Source organism: Homo sapiens, chromosome X, assembly GCF_000001405.40.
Source record: "Homo sapiens chromosome X, GRCh38.p14 Primary Assembly".
In the NCBI taxonomy this organism is placed as follows: Eukaryota; Metazoa; Chordata; class Mammalia; order Primates; family Hominidae; genus Homo; species Homo sapiens.
This window is the reverse complement of record NC_000023.11, coordinates 107,220,240-107,245,016: the sequence shown is the minus strand read 5'-3', so window position 1 is coordinate 107,245,016 and position 24,777 is coordinate 107,220,240. Positions and strand designations below refer to the sequence as shown.

Sequence of the window (24,777 nt, the reverse complement as noted above, 5' to 3'; positions counted from 1 at the left end):
CCCAGGGTCTCCAGCTTGCAGACAGCTTGTCGTGGGACTTCTCAGCCTCCATAAATGGGTAAGCCAATCCCCCTAATAAATTCCCTTCCATATATCTCTCTATATATATCCTATTGATTCTGTCTTTCTGGAGACCTCTGACTAATACAGTTACTGCTTAGACTTGCCCCATAGCTTAAATTTGGGGCATCAACTTAAATTCTTAAAATATAGCCTTTTAAAAAGATGCTAAAAAAGCAAAGTATGATGCTCTTTAGGTCCTGTAACATCATGGACCTAAACTCACAGACACTAGCTTCCTTTCAGCTAATCCCACCCTCAACTTTTGCCCCCATAGAAGAAAGTCGTGTTGGTAGCTTAAATGTCAAATTCTCTGTAAGAGCTTAGTGTTCTAACACAACCATTTTTTTTTCCAAAATCTCAGTCTTTTCATTCTATTTCATCATTTCATCTAGTCACAAACTAGATGCTTCATAGTTGTATATATATAATTAACTCTAGAAAATATCTGCTATTTATTCCCTTAATAGTTCATATAGAAGTGATGAACATCTTTTCATTGTTCATCTTTTCAAAATTTACTCCTTGGTAACTCCACAGTTCTAAAATAATGTATGAAGCCAAGTCACACAAGCTTTATAATGTATTCATAAATAATTCCAAAATAAACATATGCAATACAGTATAGAAGAAGGAGGGGACATTGAGACAATTCCTAAAAGAGATATGTCTATTTAAGAAGAAAGATAGGAAATGAGAGCAAACAGGATTTGTAAATGTGCCACACTTTAAATTTATTTTAAAGTCAAGGATTTCAATTGACTACATATAAATACAGTACCCAAAAAGGCAATGCTAATAATTATTAGTGCATATAAAAAATGTTTTTAACCTAACTATATCCAAGCATTAAAAGCACAACTGAAGAAGCCAAATAATACTGTACGCACAAAAGTGTTCCTTACTCAAGTAAATATGTTGATAGTATGGTACATCAAACTATTTATTACCTGTATATTCCAGAACAACAGTGAGAGCCTAAACAGAGAACACTGTAAATCATTTGCTCAAATCAATGAAAAAGCAACCAAATAAAATTCTCTGGTAATAATAATGACCAATTGCTATGCAACTGATTGTATCACAGTGTAAATGTAAATAATTAGCATAAGTTTTTCAGACTACTGAAGTAAGTGGACCAACCATTTCATGATCATATTTCAATTATGTAATTGACCATGAAATATTCTAATTTTTTAACCTGTAAAGATTCTACTCAGCTATCACTATAAAAATAGAATAGTTTATTTACATAAGAAAACATATTTCCTTTTTTTGTTTGTTTTTTGAGACAGAGTAGCTGGGATTACAGGCACCTGCCACCACGCCAGGCTAATTTTCGTATTTTTAGTAGAGACAGGGTTTCGCCATGTTGACCAGGCTGGTCTCAAACTCCTGACCTCAAGTGATCCGCCTGCTTCGGCCTCCCAAAGTGTTGGGATTACAGGCATGAGCCATTGCACCTGGCCAAGGAAACATATTTCCTAACAGAGTAATAGAAATTACTGTAAATGGTCACAATATCACTAGAACTGAATTTTGTCCCTTTCAAAAATATGTCAGAATAATAAAGAGAATATAGAAAACAATCATTTTTTTCAAAGTTTTTTAATTGTTACCAATGCCATTTTACTACTTTTTATCTTTTTCATGCAGTTTCAGAAGAAATTAGCAATATCTAACTCTCTTTTCATAGTCATAGTGATTTCAAGAGTTTCAGTCTCTGGGATATAGAATGCTTTGGCACTGGTACATTCCACCAGCTCAGGAAGAGTTATCAACAGCTTCCTAAAAAAAAACAACAAAATAAAACCTTAGCTTCCTAAAATGATGTATCACTTTCAATAAGACAATTGCAAACAACATATGCCACTAGAGTGTTAGAAAACAACCCCCCCCCAATATTTAGATAGTGTAAATATTGGATCAAAAATATGCCTAAATAACACAAACAGTATACCAGTTTTTCTGGACTTAAAAATCCAAGCAGTTGTTTTGGCGCCCCTATTTTTCTCCGAATTGACCTCATTTTACATAGTCTCAGGCTATGTTTACAGGCATAGAAATAGAACTATGCAACTTTTAAGTTTGCTGGACAGATCTGTTGCCACTCATACTTATGTATAGATGCAATGTGGCCGACGGATACAAATTTGAAAATTGGAATGGCTCTATGACACTTCTGCTAACATAGATTTAAGCAGAGTCTCTACCACAGGTGTAGTTTTTGAAACTGAGGCTGGGAATGATTTCAATACCAAATCAATGAAAGTGCTTCTCTCTCCTTGCTTCTGATTCTTTCTACTTACACATTGACAAAAATTCCCTGTGATAGATTGCTAGGTTTATTTTGTGGTTTATAGTTCAGTTGCTGGATAGTTTTATGCTTTAGATGCATTGCTGGGATGAGACATCCATAATTCTGCCATATTGGCATGAATCTAAATTATGCACGGGGTCAGCACATGCTGGTTTTGGAAGAAAATTAAATGCATGAAACACTTGTTACCTCGCATTTTCAGTAGAGAAGGTCTGAGTATCTCTATAAAAGGTGGACAGGATGCTCTTTTAGAAGGTATAATATCCAAATAAGTAAAGGAATATGGTATTTTTAGGGGCACTTATTGGGTTCTTGAATTGAGAACTAGTATGTATTTGAAAACAAAACCCTTGAAAATCAATTCCTTCTTTATTCCTTTGCAAAAACCTGAGTTCAGAAGACTGGGTTCATTAAAAGTATTTATTACACATTTATGGAACCTGAAGGATAAATTTTCTGTGACTCTTGTTCCATTCCATGTGGGGTAGGAAAAACACTTCGCCTGAATACGTTGCCAAACGTAGTGGCAATGCATTTTAATGTAGACTGTAATATTTGGCATCTCAGGAAAAAAAAAGTGAGTGCAAAAACCGTGTAGAGTCCATCCTTTAAATCTGTTTACTATATAGGTTGTGCTAGACTTAGATTTCCTTTATACTTTATTCAATAAATGATAATATATTCACTTTTAAAAGAAAGCAAAGCTTAGTATGGTAGCTTCGTTGCACTAAAAGACAACTATAAATCAGCTGAAGAAGGAGTTCCAATGATAATGTGCACTTCTCTGTCCAGAGAGAAATAAATTCAAAAGAGACAGTTAGTGGCCATTGGAATGATCCATCTACGCCTGCATTTCTGTGTAGTTCTAAGTAGTATGGCTTCACATAATAAAATGTTGAACAGTAGAACTGTACAACTGATTTAGGCTCTTAGGAGAAGGGAAATATTTTCGTCGTCTGTTTTACTGTCTTATTATCTGTACTGAGATTTATATTTAAACAAAATAAAAATTCTCCAAATACTTATCCATGTACAATTCATGGAAGGACATTAATGTATCTTATCTTGGTGCTCCCTTAGTGTCTAGTGGAAGACTTTATAAATGTTGAGTGAATAAATAAATGAATGAGTGAGTAAATAAATGAAGCAAGTATTCAGGTCACCACAAAATAACATTTGAATAATTACCATAGATTAGTACTATAAGATATGAACAAACATTTAAACCCAATACCTCTACTTTTACATTGACAATGTATTTGCATTTTCAGAAGTTACAGTCTAGGCAGTGATCAAAGGTTCATCCAGTGTTAATTTTCATTAGAAATTAAATGCAAACAATAATACATGAATGTAAATACAAAAAAAATCTCTACAGTGAACTCAAGTTTAGAGACTTACATGCTTATACTTATATTAGAGAGTTTAAGTTGATGTTGCTCACAAGAGATTTAAGCAAAGGACATCCTGGTTCCCAGCATATTCGCATAATGAAATTTTTATCTTATATAATTAACAAAATTATTTGACTTACATATCTGGGTTAAAAACCTTTTTAAGGTTTACTGAAGGAGACATAACTATTTTCAAAGAAAGTGCAGAAATAGCTACTGAGCTGCAACTCAACTATTTCATTTAGAAAACTTCTTTTTTAGCTATCAGTCTTTGAAAATCAGTCAATTCCCAATCCAAACTAAAGGAGCACAGCAAATGTGTGAGTAATCTAAAGCAGCACTCAACCAAAAATTAGCTTACATTTGTCTTTAGAATGTGTTATTATTATCACATTCAAGGTATTCATTTATGAAATTCTTAGAATTCACTTAGAAAAATAATGAAATCTCATATGAAGACTTAAGAGATCCCCGTAAATTATCCAATTTTCTCCGTCTTTCCTCCTCTCCATTTACTCCATGTTGGGTATCTACATGCCAAAACAACCAATTGAAAAAAGTGAAGAATTTGGTAAACTGCTTTATTTATTTTGGTAAATACCTGGGTTTTATTGGTAATTCGAATGAAATTGACTATTGTTTGACAGAAACCACTGGTCAATTCAGTTAAAATAAATTCGCTTGTTTCTGCCTTATAGATACAAGAACAGAATGCCCTCTCAAATCTTTCTCAGATTGGATAAACATAGCGTTATATGATGTCAAAGTTAGAAACTAAAGAAAGTAGGTGTGAATATCAATAAACTCGAAAACAAGACACATTCCCGATAATGCAATTTCAGAGAAAAGCATGGCTCTAAAGGATTCTCAAGTATTTAGGAAACATGATAAAATCCTTAATTATATTTTCTGTCTTCTATCTTAGTTAAGCAGGTTTTCTTGAGATGGTACCTCTCTGCACTGCGCATTTAATATATAAGTACATTATGATCCAAAGGACCTAGTGTATAGCCCATGTTCTATGTGGGAAAGTACTTTTAATCCAAAATGTATCCTCACAGAACAAACATCTCATGTTATAAAAATTGTATTCAGTATTTCTGCTGTCTCCATCAATCTTTAGGTAGCTGCTATGGCTGTGCCGTCATTACAGATATCCATCAGAATCCACTAAATGAAAGTCTCACAGACAGTGAGAACTGCTAGGGAAACGGAAATTAACCCCATGGTGTGTAGACATGTGTGTGCTTTTAACAAGCTTGCAAATATCTTGGAAGATTGTTCATTTAACCAATTTTCCTTGTAAAGGTTATGTGGAAGAGTAAATTCGTGTATAAAATGCAACAAAAGGGTACAATACTCCTTGAAGTAAACAGCAGAAATAGTGAATATAATTTTTATAACATGAGATGATTGTTCTGTGAGGATACATTTTTGAAATGATGTAAATAATAAGAAAACATTTGATATATATTTATCTGTAGACCATTTTGGGTTAAATGCATTTACTATAGAAGCCAAGATTAAGCTACATATGCATATTGGGTTGTTTACACATAGGAATCTTTTGTATGAAGGATCTTCTTGTCATTTTCTTGAAGTCCTAAGCTCAACAAAGGAGAATTATAGGTACTGATAATGGAAGGAAGAAAATGTGCCAGCAACTGCCTGCCTCCCAAATCCAGTTTGAAATGTTCATGAGTTACAGAGTTAGGACCATTGCAGTGAACCAGTATGTGCTCACTGCTCTATATCCAGATAAGATGTGCACAAAGCAGTGAGGTATTTAGATAGTAATTGATGGCAAGATCTTTTTGTTGATTTAAATGAAAACACTCAAATTTAACCTTACAGCCCCACAAAATGACAAAAGTATAAAGATATTGCTTCCCTTATGTAATCAATGTACAAAAACCACATATAAGACTTACAACTTAATGGCATTTTCACTTCTAGTTATTTTTTCTGATAGATAAACTGCATCTGGGTGTCAAGAATTGTGTTTTAATAGCATTAACCCACTCCAAATGCACGGATGCAAAGTAGAAAAAAGTCCAAGTATTTCCAAACATATTTATGTTTATATTAATGTAGATCAAACATCTGAATACAAAATTTTCCACTTTTCTTCAGACTTTAGGGGTGATACAAAATAACTGTACATTTTAAAAAATAATATTGACTGAAGACTCTTTAATATTATAATACACTATTCCAGTTCTAAGTTTTACTCACTTCTGAGGAGTACGAAGGTCAAGGATTGTTTCCTGGATATCAATTTGAATATCAGAAGGGTTTGTATTTGGCAATTTAATTTTAGCCTGAAAGAGAAAATGAGAAGAAAAATAGTGATATCTTGGAGAGCAATTAATTTGAAGAATATAAGAATATATGGGGAAAAGAGACTAATATTTATTGTCAACTATGTGCCAGGCTATGCCCTATCTTTATGTCAATCTTGAGCAGCAGAGATTATTATCCCCATTTTACAGATGGAGAAACTACAACAGAGAAATTTAGTGAGTGGCCCAAGGGCAACCTCCTGTAATCTGACTAAGGTTTCTGGCTCCAAAGCTATACAGAAACACTTTGGTTACTTGACTGTAACCTTCATTTTCTGAAGGTACATAGTAGTACACCTGTTAGAGTTGGGGACCTTCAACTGCCTTTATATCAGTTGGCAATTTGTATAAAAAAAGTTTAGTTCTCATGTTGGGTATGAGTTGGTGATGCCATCTAATAGTCTTCTGGCATAAATTTCCATACCACATTTTCTAGGGAGGTGTGGGAGTTCAGGTGTTATGTTATCAAAACAAAAGAGAAATAACAATATGACTCCCACCTCCCCAAAAGGACAACATATTGGTTTAGTAAGATTTCACTTTAAATGTTTCATCTCAATTACCACATGGCCCAGCAATTCCACTCCTGGGTATATACCCAAGAGCACTGAAAACAGGTTTTCAAGCAAAAACATGTACATAATGTTTTTGCTTATAGGAGCCCTATTCATAACAGTCAAAAGGTGTAAGCAACCCAAATGTGCATCAACTGATGAATGGAAAAAACAAAATGTGTTGTATCCATACAATGGAATATTATTCAGCCATAAAAAGGAGTAAAGTACTGTTATATGGATGAATCCTGAAAACATTATGCTAAGTGAAAGAAACCAGGGACAAAATGTCACATATTATAGGATTCTATTTATATGAAATGTCCACAATAGGCAAATTTTTGTTTTTGTTTTGTTTTTTTGTGGGAGACGCAGTCCCGCTCTGTTGCCCAGGCTGGAGTACAGTGGGGCAATCTCGGCTCACTGCAACCTCTGCCTCCCAGGTTCAAGCAATTCTCCTGCCTCAGCCTCCAGAGTAGCTGGGACTATAGGTGCGTGCCACCACGCCCGGCTAATTTTTTGTATTTTTAGTAGACGGGGTTTCCCCGTGTTAGCCAGGATGGTATCGATCTCCTGACCTTGTGATCTGCCCGCCTCAGCCTCCCAACGTGCTGGAATTACAGGGGTAAGCCACGCGCCCGGCCCACAATAGGCAAATCTATACAGACAGAAAAGAGATTGGTGGTTGCTAGGGGCTGCGGAAATGGAGAAGAGGGAAGTAACTGCTTAATGGGTATGGTGTTTCCTTTAGCACTGATGAAAGTGTTCTGGAATTAGATACTGGTGATGGTTGCACAACATCGTGAATATACTAAATGTCACTAATGGTAAATTTTATACTATGTGTATTTTTACCACAACACAAAGTCTATCTCTTACTCTCTACATGCTTTCTCTTTCTGATGGAAGTTGATGTCTATATATAGGATAGCATGGCATATGGTTTCCATAAACAAAGAAATGAAGAAAATGCAGCCCAAGGTTCAGGTAAATTATGAAGCTTTCTGTAAAATGAGATAGAAGACTTGAAATATTGAACATCTGGTGAATTCATGGCTCTAATGGCCAGAGGGAAAGCAGTAAGTTATGAGGAAAATACATATCAAATAAATAATGCGACAAATTGAGATTTCTTGTAAGAAGCTTAAAGTAGGCAGTTGTGTTTTTGCAATATAATGTGTTTGGAGCAATACATGCTTGTGAGTTATATTTTACTTTATTAAATCTGTATATAAACAAAGATTTGTAAATAGAGCTCTACAGGTGCTACTATCTAAATACTACGGTTAACATTTTCATTCAACAAAAAATTGCCTCCTAATTTATATTTTGAAAATTTGGATCTTCATAATCAGAGATGCTTCAAGTGAGAGACGTACAGTTCTCAGGGGGTAGTTACAGGTGCTCTGCCTCAAAGTAAATAGGCATTCTATTCGACAAAGAAAGTCCCACCCATTTTTACTCTAATACTCAGGTCTGATAGTCAAATTGAGATCTTTAACGTCACATGTTAACTCATGTCACCTCAAAGAAGAGATACAAATATTTGTTTCTTTAGTCTGAAATGTTTAGAATTTTCATGGCAAAATATTATTTTTCCAGGGTTAAAATGCCAATTGAGAAAGACAAAAATAGATACAATTTCTGGGTAGAACTTTAAAATGGTTCTTAAAATCATTTGCTGTTCTAGTGAAGGGCAATTCAGAAACAACTCACTAATTTTTCTTCTTAAGGAAATTAAAATTATATACTACAGTGGTTTCAGAGAAGAGACAAGAGAAGGGACAAATTAGGTGGAATCGCACACATTAATATCTTGCAAGACAGAAGACTCAATGAGGAATCTTAATAGAAAAACAACTCCTGACACATGCATGAGATTTTTCCAGCAATACTTTAAAACAAATACCTGGAATACAGACATGGATATTAATTGACCTCTAACTGATTGCGCTCAAGACCTAACTTGTTAAACATTAGTAAATATAGGATGATGTCACTGACCAAACAATTTAAAGGGATTGATGTTCCTTTCTTTACATAGGGTGCAAATTGAATTTGTTTTAAAGAATAAGTTATTTTAACAGGTAAACTAAGGAAAACTTTAAAAATTCATTGGGAAACTTTTAACCTTCTGAGAACTCAACCTTTGGAATCAAACTTAGGTTTAAATTCTGGTTCTGTTACTTTTTAAAAATTAACTGTTTATTTTTGAGACAGGCTCTCACTCTGACACCCAAGCTGGAGTGCAGTGGTGTGATCATGGATCACTGCAGCCTCGACCTCCTGGGCTCAAGCAATTCTCCCGACTCAGTGTCCTGGGTGTCTGGGACCACAGGTGTGCACCACCACACCTGGCTAATTTATTTTTATTTTTATTTTTGTAGAGATGGGGTCTTGCTATATTGCTCGGGCTGGTCTCAAATTCCCGGGCTCAAGTGATCCTCCCATCTTGGCCTCCCAAAGTGCTGGGATTACAAGTGTAAGCCACCATGCCCAGCCACTTATTATTTATTGTTTACTGGTCATCTATTATTGCATAACAAATTATACCTCCCCCCCCCAATTTATAATTCAAAACAACAATAAACATTTATTATGCCACATGTTTTCGTGTATGAGGAATTTGGGAATGGCTTAGCTAGATGGTTCTGGCTTAGGCTCTATTATGAGACTGTAGTCAAGATGTTGGCTGTGGTTGTAGACATCTGAAGGTTTGACTAGGGCTAGGGGATCTGTGTCTAAGATAGTTCACTTACATGGCTGTTTGTAAGCGGCCTCAGCTCTTCACCACATGGACTTCTCCATAGTGTTGCTTGAGTGTCCTTAGGATACAACAGCTGTATTCTCCCCAGAGTAAAGGATCCAAAAGATGAAGGCAGAAGCAATGCCTTTTTTAGAATGTAGCCTCATAGATTACACTTTTTCATTAAAAAAAATCTTATTAGTTATACAGGTCAGCCCTACTCAATGTGGGAGGGGGCTACACAAAGAGAAGAATATCTGGAGGTGAGAATTATTGGGTGCCATGCTGGAAGCTGGTTACCCCAGTATCCATCACTAACTTTATTTCAAATATCTGCCTTCTGTCCTTATAAATAAAAAGTAACAGGAAAAAAGCCCATAATTTAAGGTTTGTGAGATCCCTTCTTCCCACTTTCAGCTTCTCTTCAGGCAAGTAGTAAAAACTACTCAGTCTCTCTCTGGGAATTTACTTTGAGGCTTCCCTCAAGAGAGGTAAAGGAAGGTTAAAGTGCTTGCAAATCGTTTTCCTTGGCCTTCATTTATTGTCCTCTATGTGCTGTAAGAGAGCTGACTTACTAGGGAGTCATTATTGAGTGATTATTATTGTGAGTTTCAAATCTCTTCTTTCCTGTCGTGTTCTTATGAGAGATGTGTATGACAAGATGGTTCCTGAAAGGTCATATAATTTGTAAGTGATTAACAGGCTTCTCAGCTCCTCAGATAAATGTCTACAATTATATTATAAGATGTTTGAAAATTGACAAGAGAAGTCCAAATAGCAGGTGTTTCATGGAGGTCATCCATTCTAGGTTTCCTCTTGAACTGTCACTTCATCACCACGATAAGAATAAGTAAAAAATATATGTAACTTGACCAGCACTATTTACTGATATTTCAGTGAAGCTGCTTCACTGGAGGGTTTGGACTGACACTTTGGAAGATATTCTAAATTAATTTATTTATGGGTTCTAGATATTATAAGAATATTTCCATTTGACAGAAATACAGAAACCACTCCTCACACATTTGATTCTTAGGAAAGAAGGCTATTTGAGTTCCCATTTGAAACTTAACAATATTAGGAAATTTTGATTAACAGAAAAAGTTTGGGTAGATTTCATTCTGAATTGCTTCAACTGTTTAATTTCCCATTGTTTAACTACAGAAACATGTATAAGATATTTTTTTCCACTGCAGCCATACTAAGTATTTTATAAAAACTCTCATGAAGAATGATAATCTATAGGAAAATTTTAAAAAATTAAAGGCATTAGATCTCTGCTTTGAAATTATAAAAATATTTACCTCTGAAGGATAAAAATATAGAGGTATGTATTGTACAAAACTAGGGCAAAGGCCCAATAGGTCATGTTTTTAAATTGATGGATAAATTTCAATAATGCTACCATTTTTAAACAGTCCAGTACTATATTGCCACACCTGTCTTTTTAAAAATGCTTCATAGATGCATACCTCCTCTCCACCACAGGAGTCAACTCACTCTGCAGTAAGAACATTCATCTACAGGCATCCACATCTCCACTGGCACTCACCCTCTCCCCCAAAATAATCATAGCCTCACCACCACTACCTGTCTTGAGACCACCAGAACTAAATTCATTATACTTTTAACTCTATTTGTCAATAACCACAAGAAGTCTCAGACTCCCAAATCATTCCTTATCACATAACTACCATATGGATCTTCATATCTCCTATTATGTCTCCATTTTCCATCCCTCATCAAATCCTGAGCCTTTTCCATTAGGTCCTCTGGAATACATAGTACATCATCCCTTATCTCTTTAGCCTCTTTGAATATTCTCAGCTTCTTAATCTAACTGAAATCTGGATCTCCCCAATTACACTGCTTCCCCTATAGTCTTCTCAGTTGGCGCCAGTTTTTTTTTCTCTCCTATTTCCTTTATAACACTGGGCCTGTCCCTTTCTTCCAGTTAAAAAAAAAACTCATGTCCTCCATTATGCTAAGTGAAAAATGCCAGACACAGAAAGAAAAATACGGCATGATCTCTCTTAAATGTGGAACCTAAAAAATATCTAATACATAGAAATAGAGAGAAGAATGGTGGTTACTAGAGGTGGGGTGGGAGATGAAGAGATGCAGGTCAAAGGATACAAACTTGGGTTATTTAGCATGAATAAATCTAGAGCTCTAAGGTACAGCATGAGGACTATAGTTAATATTATACCAAGTAGTGGAACTCTTCTAAGAGTAGATTTTAGGTGGTCTTATCCCCCACATACACAAAAGATACTACCTGAGATGATAAATACATTAATTAGCTTGACTGTAGTAATCACTTTACTGAGAATATGTATATCAAAACATCATGTTGTACACCTAAAACATATACAACGTAAAAACTCATGTTCTTACACGATACCACCTATTACCCATCTTGCTGGAATCGTTTACTAATTCCTGGGACACTTCCCCTGATTTCTCTAAGAATAGTTACTTGTTCTTTATTGATATTTCTAAGATTACCTCCTGTCTTAAATCTTGGAGTTTTAAATATTCACTTAGATTAACCTTTCTAGTGTGGGTGTGGTGTGCACACCTATAATCTCAGTGCTTTGGGAGGCTAAGATGGGCAGATCACTTGAGCTCAGGAGTTCAAGACCAGCCTGGGCAACATGGCGAAACCCCGTCTCTACAAAAAATACAAAAGTAGCTGGGCATGGTGGTGCGCGCCTGTACTCCCATTTGCTTGGGAGGCTGGGGTGGGAGGATCACTTGAGTCCAGGAGATCAAGGCTGCAGTGAGCCAAGATCACACTACTGCACTCCAGCCTGGGTGACAGAGCAAGACCCTGTCTCAAATGACAACAACAACAACAACAACAAAACCCTTTCTAACATTGGAACCTCACTTCCTCATCTCTTTCAGGTGTCTGCTCAAATATTGCCTTCTTAGTGAAGGCTTTCGTGACCACACTATTAATAATTTCAGCCACCACCAACTCTAGTATGCCCTATCACTTCCTCCTCCTTTTCTCCTCAGAGCATTTTCACCTTCTAATGTACAATACAATTTATGTGTTTATTTTATTTATCTCTTCCACAATAAGGTAAGCTCTGTGAAGGCAGTGATGTTTATGTTTTGTTTACTATGCTATCCTCTATACTTAGAACAGTATCTCTTGATTCCTGTGATGGGAGAGGAGTCATGCATCTATGAAGTATTTTTAAAAAGACAGGTATGGTAATATGTTGGGAAAAAGGTTTATGGGGTGCCTGCATGAACTGGCCATAAAAATATGGGACAATAAGTTGTGGAAAGCCACAAGAGGCCTCTGAGGACTCTTGACTCCTGTGATGGGAGAGGAGTCATGCATCTATAAACTATTTTTAAAAAGACAGGTATGGTAATATAGTACTGGACTGTTTCAAAGTGGTAGCATTATCAAAATTTATCCATCTGGCCAGACACAGTGGCTTATGTATGTAATCCTGGCACTTTGGGAGGCCAAGGTGGGTGGATCACTTCACGTCAGGAGTTTGAGACCAGCCTGACCAATATGGTGAAACCACATCTCTAGAAAAAATACAAAAATTAGCCAGGTGTGGTGGCATGCACCTGTAATCCCAGCTATTCAGGAAGCTGAGGTGGGAGAATCGCTGGAACCCAGGAGGTGGAGGTTGCAGTGAGCCAAGATTGCACCACTGCACCCTAGCCTGGGCAACAGAGTGAGACCTTGTCTCAAAAAACAAAAAGAAAAAAAAGAAATTTATCTATCAATTTAAAAAGATGACCTACTGGTTTTTTGCCCTGGTTTTGGACAATACATACCTCTACATTTTTATACTTCAGAGGTAAATATTTTTATAATTTCAAAACAGAGACCCATCACCTTTAATTTTTTTTTCATTTTCCTACAGCTTATCATTGTTAATGAGAGTTTTCATAAAATACTTAGTGGCAAATCATAGGCACTCAACAAATATTTGTTGACTGAATGAATGAATGCAAGGATGGTTCCATATTAAGAAATTTGCTAATATAATTTACCAATAGATAAAAACTAAAAAAATCATATGATCTTCACAAATGGTAAAAAGGCATTTGATTAAATTCATCATCTATTCTTGCTTAGAACTCTTAAAATCAGAATAGATGAACAGATCCTTAACACATACCCCAAAAATCAGTATCTAACTAAATGAAGAAACACTAGAACCATTCCAATTAAAGTGAGAAATTTATATTTTTGTTCCCATTAACCAACCCCACACTTCCCCTCCCTCAATGACCACTCCCATTCTCTGGTAACCATCCTTTTACTCCCTATGTCCATGAGTTCAATTGTTTTGATTTTTAGATCCCACAAATAAGTGAGAAAGTGTGATGTTCGTCTTTCTGTGCCTGGCTTATTTCACGTAACATAATGATCTCCAGTTCCATCACGTTGTTTCAAATGACAGGATCTCTTTTTTTAATGGCTGAATAGTGTATCTCTATTACGTACTCATATTTTTTTAATTTTTAAAAATTTAAAGTGAGAAATAAGAAATAAAGTTCAGTATTCACTATTATTACATAATATAGTTCTGGAGGTACTAACATGCAATTAAACAAGAAATAGGTTAAAATGATTGGAAAGGAAGAAGTAAAATTTCATTATCTGAGGGACTAGGTGGAATACCCAGGTGGAATGAATAACAAGGAATCGGGAAATAACTTGGCATATTGAAGGATCAAAAAGAAGGTCAGGATAAGCAGAACATAACAAACAAGGAAGAAAGTGTCACATTGGATGAAACTGTAAAAGTAGGTAAGGGTCAGATCACACGGGGCCCTTCCCTACTTTTAAGATAAGGAGTTTGGATTTTGTTCTGTAAGTGCAACAGGAAGCCATTGAGGGCTGTAAGCGAAGAGGTGATATGGTCTGATTTACTTTTTCTTTTGAGACGGAGTCGCCCAGGCTGGAGTGTAATGGCGTGATCTCTGCTCACTGCAACTGCTGCCTCCCAGGTTCAAACAATTCTCCTGCCTCAGCCTCCCAAGTAGCTGGGACTACAGAAGTGCACCACCATGCTCGGCTAATTTTTATATTTCTAGTAGAAACAGGGTTTCGCCATGTTGGCCAGGCTAGTCTCGAACTCCTGATCTCAGGTGATCCACCCGCCTCAGCCTCCCAAAGTGCTGGAATTACAGGTGTGAGCCACTGTGCCTGGCCTTGACTTACTTTTAAAAAGGAACTCTTACACTCTGTGTGGAAAGGCTATAGGGAAGGAAGAGTCAAAGCAGGGAGATAATGTCATTAGAGACTCGTCAGAATGGTCCAGATAGAGATGATGATCGTTAGTAACATGATAGCAATTGCAGTGGTAATGAAAATTAGATGGATTTAGAATATATTTTGAAGGTACAGCCAGTAATACTTGCTGATGGATTAGACATGAGGTATAAAGGAAAGAGGAATGATGGCTGATTTAGGTTTTTAGCTTGAGCAACTGGGTGAATGTTATTGCCACAAAGAAGATGAATGAGAAAAAGGTTTATGGAAGACAATTAAGAGTTCTGTTTTAGACATGTTAGGTTTGAGTTGTCTATTAAACAAGTAAGAGATGGCAAGTAAATAGTTATATGAGGCCGGGGGTGGTGGCTCACACCTGTAATCCCAGCACTTTGGGAGGCCGAGGCGGGCGGATCACGAGGTCAGGAGGTCGAGACCATCCTGGCTAACACGGTGAAACCCCGTCTCTACTAAAAATACAAAAAATTAGCCGGGCGTGGTGGGGGGCGCCTGTAGTCCCAGCTACTCCGGAGCCTGAGGCAGGAGAATGGTGTGAACCCGGGAAGTGGAGCTTGCAGTGAGCCAAGACCGCGCTACTGCACTCCAGCCTGGGTGACAGAGCGAGAGTTAAAAGAGTTATATGAATCCAAAGCCCATGGGAGAGTTCAGGACTAGAGAGATAAATGATATTTAAAGCTATGAGACTAGGTGAAAAGAGAATAGGTAGAGAAAAAAAAAGACATAGGTCAAATCTCCAGAGAACTTAAGGCAGAATAGGAAGAGCCAGTGATTTGGGAGTGAAAGAGAGGAGGAATGCCTAGTGATTTCGGAAGAAAAGAGTGAAGTCTTTCCTCACTCCTCAGTGAGAATGGGGTCATTAAAGTAAAGAGAAAACTGTGTTTCAAGGAGAGAGCAGGCCGGGTGCGGTGGCTCATGCCTGTAATCTCAGCACTTTGAAAGGCCGAGGCAGGCAGATCACTTGAGGCCAGGAGTTGGAGACCAGCCTGGGAACCCGTCTCTACTAAAAATATGAAAATTAGCCAGGCGTAGTGGCGCGTGCCTGTTGTCCTAGCTACTCAGGGGGTTGAGGCAGGAGAACAGCTTGAACCCAGAAGGTGGAGTTTGCAGTGAGCCAAGATCACATCACTGTACTCCAGCCTGAGCGACAGAGCGGGACTCTGTCTCAAAAAAAAAAAAAAAAAAAAAAAAAAAAGAGTAGTCAACAGGGTGGAATGCTGCTGAGTAGCAGCACCCTCATATCTTCAATCCCTCTTTATCTAATCAGTGTTTTTAAACTAGAGGAAAGCAATATGGGCATTTTGTGTAGGACAACTCTTCATTCTTGAGGACTATACCTCTTATTGCAAGATTTAAGGCAACCCTGGCCCTGAATACTAAATGACAATAATATCCTGTAATCAGCTGGGCATGGGGGCCCATGCCTGTAATGCCAGCACTTTGGAAGGCCGAGGTGACAGAATTGCTTGATCCCAGGAGTTTGAGACCAGTTTGGGCAACATAATGAGACCCTGTCTCTACAAAAAATAAAAAAGAAAAATTAGCAGGGCATTGTGGTGCATGCCTGTAGTCCTAGCTACCAGAGAGGCTGAAGTGGGAGGATCGCTTGAGCCCAGGAGGTTGAGGCTGCAGTGAACTGAGATCAAGCCACTACGTTCCAGCCTGGGTGACAGAGCAAGACCTTATCTCAAAAAAACAAAAAATTCTGTAATCATTGTGACAACCAAAAATGCCTCCACCTAGGGGCCCACACCATGACTACTTTTTTTTTTTTACTGTTTGTTCATTAGCTCTAGTGACACACAGTAGGAACTAAATAAATATTACATGGATGAATGCATGGATTCTTGTCATCAGCTGAAATGCATACATAAATCTCTCCTGTCTTAAAAAAACTCCCCTAAATCCTGCCTCCTTCTCAAAAATCATTTCCTCATTCTCCTCCTCTTCACCACTAAACTTCCTCAAAGAACAATCTATATTTGCTGGCTTCTCTTCCTCACTTCCTCTTCACTTCTCAGCTTTCTTCAATCTGGTGTTGGCCATGCCACTGAAGCTGCTCTCTTCCAAAGATCACCAAAGACTTCTTAACTGACAAATCTCAAAGTTCTTTCTGCATCCTAATCCTGCTTGACAGCAGCGGATACTACTATGGTTTCCCTCCCATCTCTGAATATCCTTCTCAGTTCCTCTACCTTTATTGATCCCTCAAGTATTGGTAATTTCCAAGGTCAATCTGTGAATCTGCTTGCATGGAATCGGGAGTTTCTGCCAGGTCCAGCTCAAGGATTCCAGACCATGTGATTCAGATATTTTGATGAAACCTCAAAATGACATCATCAAAATGTAAAATTACTGATACATATATGAAGTAATATGTATATGACATCTTTTACCTTTATTCCATCCTTGACCATAGCCTATTTCAAACACACACACACTCTCTCTCTCAATTTTTCTCCATCTCATTATGATGGACTTTTATCATCAACTCTACTAATTTTGGTATTGCTTAAAATTTTACATATATATTACTTCCATAATCAGAAATATACTGTCTATATGATTAGATTAGCTTTTAAGGAAGTATTTGTTACCATGTCCCACAACCACCATCATTATGAAGGAGTGTTATGACATTAACTATAAATGTATATATTATGAATATATTACTGAGACAGCGATTAGAAATTTAAGTGAAGGTTTACTGTGCTGCCTGGAACTGACAATAAGGAATCATAGTACAGATCAGATATCCTTCCCTGTGCCACATGGTCTGGTATACAACCAATCAAACAAGGTTAACATAATCAGGAAGCCTACCAAAAAAAAAAAACTAGGTCCATCCTCTAGAGGGGAATAGAATGGAGAACAAAACCTATTTCATTATCAAGCAGCCAAATACATTTTTTCATTAAAAGTAAACAAATATAGGCCAGGCACGGTGCCTCACGGCTGTAATCCCAGCACTTTGGGAGGCCGACAGGTGGATCACCTGAGGTCAGGAGTTTGAGACCAGCCTGGCCAACATGGTGAAACCCCATCTCTACTAAAAATACAAAAATTAGCCGGGCTTGGTGGTAAATGCTTGGAATCCCAACTACTCGGGAGGCTGAATCAGGAGAATTGTTTGAATCTGGGAGGCCGAGGCTATAGTGAGTTGAGGCTGCACTCCAGCCTGGGTAACAAAGTGAGCCTCTGTCTCAAAAAATAAAAAAGTAAACAAATATAACTGTTTTAACCTTAAGAAAGAAATCAGGATTTGAAGAGCAGACCATTCAGGAAGCAAGTGAATTCTTAGAGGATGAGCAAATACTTTGCTCAAAATGATTGATAGCACTTTCTGAGATAAATATGTATGATAAACATGTGACTCCTGGTTGTGTCTGCCTGCCAGATGGTGACTGACTTCTATCCCATCCCTGACTCTCATCCCATTCTCAGTGAGATTTAAAGATGGGGGAAGAATCATATCCTAGGGAGGAGGTGATGTTGGGAAAAAATAGGCTTAGTGGCTTGTTTCTTGGGTCATATCAGAATGTCGCCTTATCAATATAGATCTATCAAAGTAAAACATCAAAATATGTGTTCATTCTAGGTCAAAGAGCATCAAGCTATCTGCAAGCTGCCTTTCCCCTCTCCTAGAACAAACAAAGGGTAATTTGGCAGAATACCAATAACCCTAGGCCCATTCATTTTTGGATTTTGGCACCATGGGTGAAAATGAGAATCTGCTGACCTATTTTTCCAATACACCCATCCCATTTCCTGCCACAAATAATCCTATGGAGAATTAGGGTATCTTGCTACATATTTTTATACCTATAGTTCTTTTTTCCATGCTCCTCAGCTGGCACCCAAGAGGTCCAGTACTTCAGTCAGTCTGGCAATAACCAGTAGTCAGCAATAGCAAAACTGCAATTACTTTTGCACCAACCTAATATCACACCCATTACAGTGAGAGCTTTGGGGAGAGGGATGGAGAATATGGCTAGAGGATAAAAAGAAAAACAACCAAAACAAAATGAAATAAGCTAGGGCCTTCCACTCGTGGGGTTTAAAGAAAAGCATATATGTCACCAAGGAAAAAGAAGCCCTCTAGATTTCTTATTATTCTTCCATTAATGTATATGAGTATTTGAAACCTTGTAAGCCTGACCTTAGTTTATCAACTGTAATATCAGGATGAGAAATTAGATCAGCATCTTTCTAACTGTGTTCCAAGGAGCCTCAGCCATTCTCCTAAGAGCTGCCTCATGGGTGATAGTACCTTCTTAAACAAGGCAGTGGTACTTTTTATGTTTATTACACTGGGCTTACTCATAGAATTTTATTTGGAAAGAAAAAAGCTTGAGAGCTAGAAACAAAACAAAACAAACCTGTAAACCACTGGCTAGCTCTAGCTCTAAAATACCTAAATATAGATTAAGGCAAGGGAAACTTGGTGGCTACAAACTCAGGAGTAAAGCAGTTGCAGAGGATAACAATAGGGCAGGGAGTGTTTGGTTAATGGGGCTCTTTGGGTTTGAGGTTCGAAGGGTTTGCTGAAGACATTCCTAATTCATAATTTTGTTTAGGACCGTTGCTTTGATTTAGGATTCATAAATCTTGCTTTCTTATTTGGAGTCTGGGGAGGGTAAAGGAAAGGATGGTCCTTGTGAATTTTTAAACCCCAAATCACTTCTTGTACGTAAACAGATTGTACTCCTATTGCCTTACTCGGTTTAAGTAAGGATTTTTTCTTAAAGTTTTTGGATTGGATTGTTACATATAGACCAGGTCCAGGACACAAATAACATATTTAGGCAATTCTCAGGTACAATTTTCCCCACATTTTAATGTTTATGATATTGAGACGAACTGCACAATCAATGGTGGTATAATATGGCATTATAACTATTTTCCTCTGAAACATTGTTATTGTTAAATAAATGGCACATTTACAATTTTATGATGTCTTAGATTCAAGGAAACACCATATTATCAAGAAGAATGATAAGCATATACATTTGAGCAAGAAATACTTGAGATGGGCTCAACAACCTATTTACTCTGAGTCTTGTCAGTGGAGTAAGCAATGATAGTGGATGTCATCATTAGTATGCCTACAGGATAACATTCAAGCTACAAATAAAAGCTACAAGCTTTTATCTTTTTTGAGAGTCAGCTTACTAGTCCATTATTACCGACACTTACTCTTTATTCTTGTTATATTCTCTGTTTACTCAAATATGCCATGCTATTTCATGCCTGGATACCTTTCCACGTGCTCTTACTTCTGCTTGGAATGCCCTTTTTAGAATGTTGTCCACTGTAGTAATATTATCCACTTGAAGTTGATCTCTTCCTGCTTTATGTCACTATGTACCTGATATATGTCTTTATTTTTCTATCTTTAATTTTTATGGGTACATAATAGGAAAATATATTTATGGGGTGCATGAGATATTTTGATACAGGCATACAGTGTATAATAATTACATCAGGGTAAATGGGGTGGGTTTGTATCACCTAAATCATTCACCATTTCTTTGTGTTATGAACATTCCAATTGTACTCCCTCAGTTACTCTAAAATGTACAACAAATTATTGCTGACTGTTATCCTTCTGTTGTACTATCAAATACTAGATCGTGTTTATTGTATCTAACTATATTTTTGTACCCATTAACCATCCCCACATTTCCAACTCCCACTGCCCACTGCCCTTCCCAGTCTCTGGTAACCATCATTCTGTTCATGGTGTTTGCCTCTAAATATGTACTTACCATACTGAACTGCAGTGATTTATTAGGTGTCAATCTCCTTTACTGTAAATTCCTTGAGGACAATTGATTGTTTATCATTTATTTTTGTATCTCTAGTACTTAGGACAGTCCCTGGTATGTAGTAACATTCACTAAGTATTTAAAGATGTAATAAATGAAGAAACAAAGAGAAATAAAGGAAAGAAAGAGAAAAGGAACAGTATACACGTGACAAAGTGCCACAGTATCAACAAATGTGTTATTTGCTGCTGCCTTTCAGTGGTGTCCATGACTTATCCCAACCTTCTGAACTTCTATTCGACTTATAATTGTTTACACTGAGTTTAATTCTTAATAATAAAATTGGTTCATTTATGTTAGTTTTGTCTCCCCAGTTGATTATAAATTCATTTGAGAGAAATATCAAGTCTTCTGTATATACTTATTGAGTTTTAGATAAACCATATATTCCTATTATGAGGTATGATTTAGTTTCCAAGATTCTTCATTCAGGATACCTTTATTATTAAAACTAGTGGCAATTTTTGCATGAGATAAACTGTAAGGCTTGCAACAGTTTTATTTATTTAGGGCCTAGAATTCCTCCAGAATTTAGAGCAATCCCCAACATTACACATCAAAAACACAATTTTACAATAATTTAAAAGAGAGGAATTTGAATATTACTGGTAAAACCCTGGGAGCTAATTACTTCAAGATTACTTGAAAGCATAACTCATTAGAGTTTGAAAAATCTCCTGAGGTACTTAAAGCCACTATTCCCATTATGTTACTTGATTGAATTGAATGTCTTAGATTTTGCTAATAAGAGAAAACCTGAAGTTCATGCAAAAGAGAAATTCCATTTATCATTTGCTTAAGAAAAAAATATTACACATCTCCCATGGGCACCATGGTATTCTATAATGTATTGTAAGAAAGGAGGAAAAAAAATAGAAGCAAAGTTCCTGATCTCAAAAAATAAAATTTTAACACAAGAATTACTTGTTAATGTTGCTAAAATGAATCAAATTCCACACTCTGGGTTAGGCCCAGATTTTTCAACAAGGTCATTATCAGGATGAAATAAGCAAAAGTAAGGTGGTATCATTGATATTGTTGGTATTGCCACAACTGTTATACAGAAACAGTGACCTGGTAAAGGATGCTCTCCAACATTCGGTAGCGTCATTCAGATAAGAAAGCAAAGTAACATTTTAGATGTCTTTCTTAGTGTTTTTAATCAGAAGTCAGATCCCAAAATTAAGAAAATCCCTTTTTAAGTCCCACATTGTAAGCTGAGTCATTACGAGAAATACAGAAATAAGAGATAAGACAGATGCGGGGAAGGAGATACTTCATTCTGATTGCCTGTCAATTCATCATAAGTTAATAACCAATCAGTTGGCATGCATGGGACGGAACTAGGATGGAAGAAAATCCAGTCCAATCCAATTGGGAAGTTTTAATAGGGATAAAAATAGAAATTGTGTATTGTGTCATATGATTCCATTATGTTTATTTGTAAATCTCATCCAAATGTGTAAACTTAGTTTATTTTGTACAAGTTAACAATTTTAAACTGTCTATCCCATTGTTACCCTAGTACGTGAAACATAGCAACCACGATTTTTAAAGAGTTTACAACCTTGCCTACAATATTATGTAAATAATAGTCAGTCAATTTAGCTACAATGGTTGTATAGAAAATGAAGAAGGGGAGGAGAGGCTTACCACTAGTTCACTGCAACAACCTGTTGAGGAGTCCTTTTTTGACAACCCTAAAAATATATCTTCAGTTCCCACCTGCTGTCTGAATATAATCTCATACCTGAAAAAAAATCAATGATTATAGGGACTCAGATGAAAGAGCAATTTCCTGTCACAGAAAAGAAAACTAGTAACTTATGAGGATATGCTATTAGGTAAAATAAAAGGACTAAACAAATAAAGTGCTTGCAGGTCTTCAGGCATATAATAGAACATAAAGGAAAAGAAGTCTAGAAATGTGGTCAAAATAAACACTGAAAGGCAGGATTGTTATTATTTTCTAAAATAAAGCTTTAACTGTTTCAGAGCTAGACAAATAAAATAGATTGAGGGAACTTGTAATAAGATTCTAATAAGATTAAAAGCAGAAGAAAAAAAAGGAAAGTCTGTTCCTGAAAAACAATAGCTCAGAAAAATACTGAGTCCATAACCTAGGGATTGATAGAAACCTTCCTCTGCCAAGTTTAAACCACAGAGCAGAGGAGAAAATTCAGGTTTAGTACTGTTTCTGTCATTAACTGTGGACCTTGGTCAAGTCACAAACTCATGGGGTCTCAGTTTCTACATTTGTATGATTTATGGGAGGGAGGGGTGAGTTTGAACTGAATGATCTCCACGGCTAAAATTCTACAATAGAAACACTGGTAATGTAGTCAGCACAGCTACACCATAGTGCTTAGAATCTAGTCTTACAGAATTCTGAGTGTAATGAAAGGTTTTCCTGATATTTCACCCCACACATGACAATTCACAAATCATTCCTCCCTCCAAATTTGGGCCTCCAGGAATACAATGGTTTATAGAAGCACCCACCACAAGGTACCCCATCTCTTCAGATAGAATGAAACAAATATTTACAAATTATTATTATTATTATTATTATTATTATTATTATGCTTAATGCTACCTTAATGAAGAAATTGTAGATCTCTGGATAGTAAGACTAAAGGACTTGATTGAACTTCTGACCATTTGCCAATAGGAATGCCCAAAAATAAAAAAGGGATTTCTCTGAGTTTGAACATGGCTAACAATAAGCAGCTATTTGCTATGGGGCACTTTTCTCTTAATAGGCTATAACATCTACCAATTATTTATGAAGGTGAAGCCAGGTTAAAACAAACAGAGGATTGATCTATATGTTCATTGCTCCTAATGGATTTGCTCAAGCTCCTGCTCTTATCCTGAGCTCCAGACGCAATTTTCCAACTGTCTACTACAAAGGTTTGCCTGGATGTCCCAAAGACAACTCAAAGTGTACATATCAAAAACCAGCTAGTCATGGTGGCTCTCAACTGTAATCTAGTGCTTAGGGAGGCTGAGGCAGGAAGATTGCTTGAGTCCAGGAGTTTGAGACCAGCCTGGGCAGCACGGTTAGACGCAGTCTTCACAAAAATAAAGTGTGCACCTGTAGTCCCAGCTACTTGGGAGAGTAAGGTGGGAGAATTGCTTGAGCCCGGGAGGTTGAGGCTGCAGTGAACAATGGGCGGGGCCGGGGGGGCGGTGGTTGGCGAAGAAAAAAAACAAATTTGGTTGGGCACTGTGGCTCAGGCCTGTAATCCCAGCACTTTGGGAGGCTGAGGCAGGTGGACTGCTTGAGGCCAGGAGTTCAGGACCAGCCTGGCCAACTTGGTGAAACCTCGTCTCTACAAAAAACACAAAAAACATTAGCCAGGCCTGGTGGCATGCACCTGTAGTCTCAGCTACTTGTGAGGCTGAGGCAGGAGAATCGCTTGAACCCGGAAGGCAGAGGTTGCAGTGAGCCGAGATCACACCACTGCACTCCAGCCTGAGCGACAGAGCAAGACTCTGTCTCAGAAAAAAGGAAGAAAGAAAGAAAGAAAGAAAAAGAAAGAAAGAAAGAAAGAAAGAAAGAAAGAAAGAAAGAAAGAAAGAAAGAAAGGGAGAAAGAAAGAAAACAAAAACAAACTCACTGCTTCTTCTTAACCTATAATTCCTATCAAAGTTAATGGCATTATCATTTCCTCAGTCACCCAAGCTAATAACTTCAGCATCATCTTTGACGCTCTCCTCTCATCCATTTTATCTAACCAAATACCAACTCTTCATCCAAAACTCACTCAAATAAAGACCCTCATACTTCTCCCCAAGGCCAGTGCCTTAGCTCAGCTCCTTGTTATTCTTTTACTTGGCCACTTGTGATTCTTCTTTTTTGAACTGCCTGTTCATGTTCTTTACCTATTTTCCTCTGCATCCACTGAGAAATGTTGAAATGTATTTTCATAAGGTAGAAGATGAAGATTTTTAAAATCTTATAAAGCAATTTTCCTCATAATAACCTGAAGTTATTATTCATTTAAAGCTTTCATGGATGTTCTATCTACCTAACATCAAACATCAGGATGAAAAGGGAAAAATTACTCAAATTTGAAGTTTGCTGCATATGGATATTTGACATTTGTTAGACAATATGACAAATAAGTGACTTAATTATTACTTTTCATATGATACGTGGACACTATATAAACATAACTTCAAATTTACTCTCTTCGTTCTCTAAGAAATGTTTTAAAATCTCCTTTGATTTTTTATGAGGTTTATGGTC

The 24,777-nt window shown here is 36.9% G+C and overlaps 1 protein-coding gene across 2 annotated transcripts in view; it reads right to left on the bottom strand.

The window, feature by feature from the left end:
• The window catches only part of DNAAF6 (dynein axonemal assembly factor 6), a 37,637-nt gene continuing 13,629 nt past the window's right edge, over positions 770-24,777 (bottom strand). For both annotated transcript variants that reach the window (NM_001169154.2, NM_173494.2), the window contains 3 exons: positions 22,176-22,272; positions 6,010-6,095; positions 770-1,848 (listed from right to left, as the gene is read on the bottom strand). In NM_001169154.2, the coding sequence (NP_001162625.1) occupies positions 1,719-1,848; positions 6,010-6,095; positions 22,176-22,272 (313 nt within the window). In that variant the 3' untranslated portion in view covers positions 770-1,718. The remainder of the gene's footprint in view (positions 1,849-6,009; positions 6,096-22,175; positions 22,273-24,777) is intronic.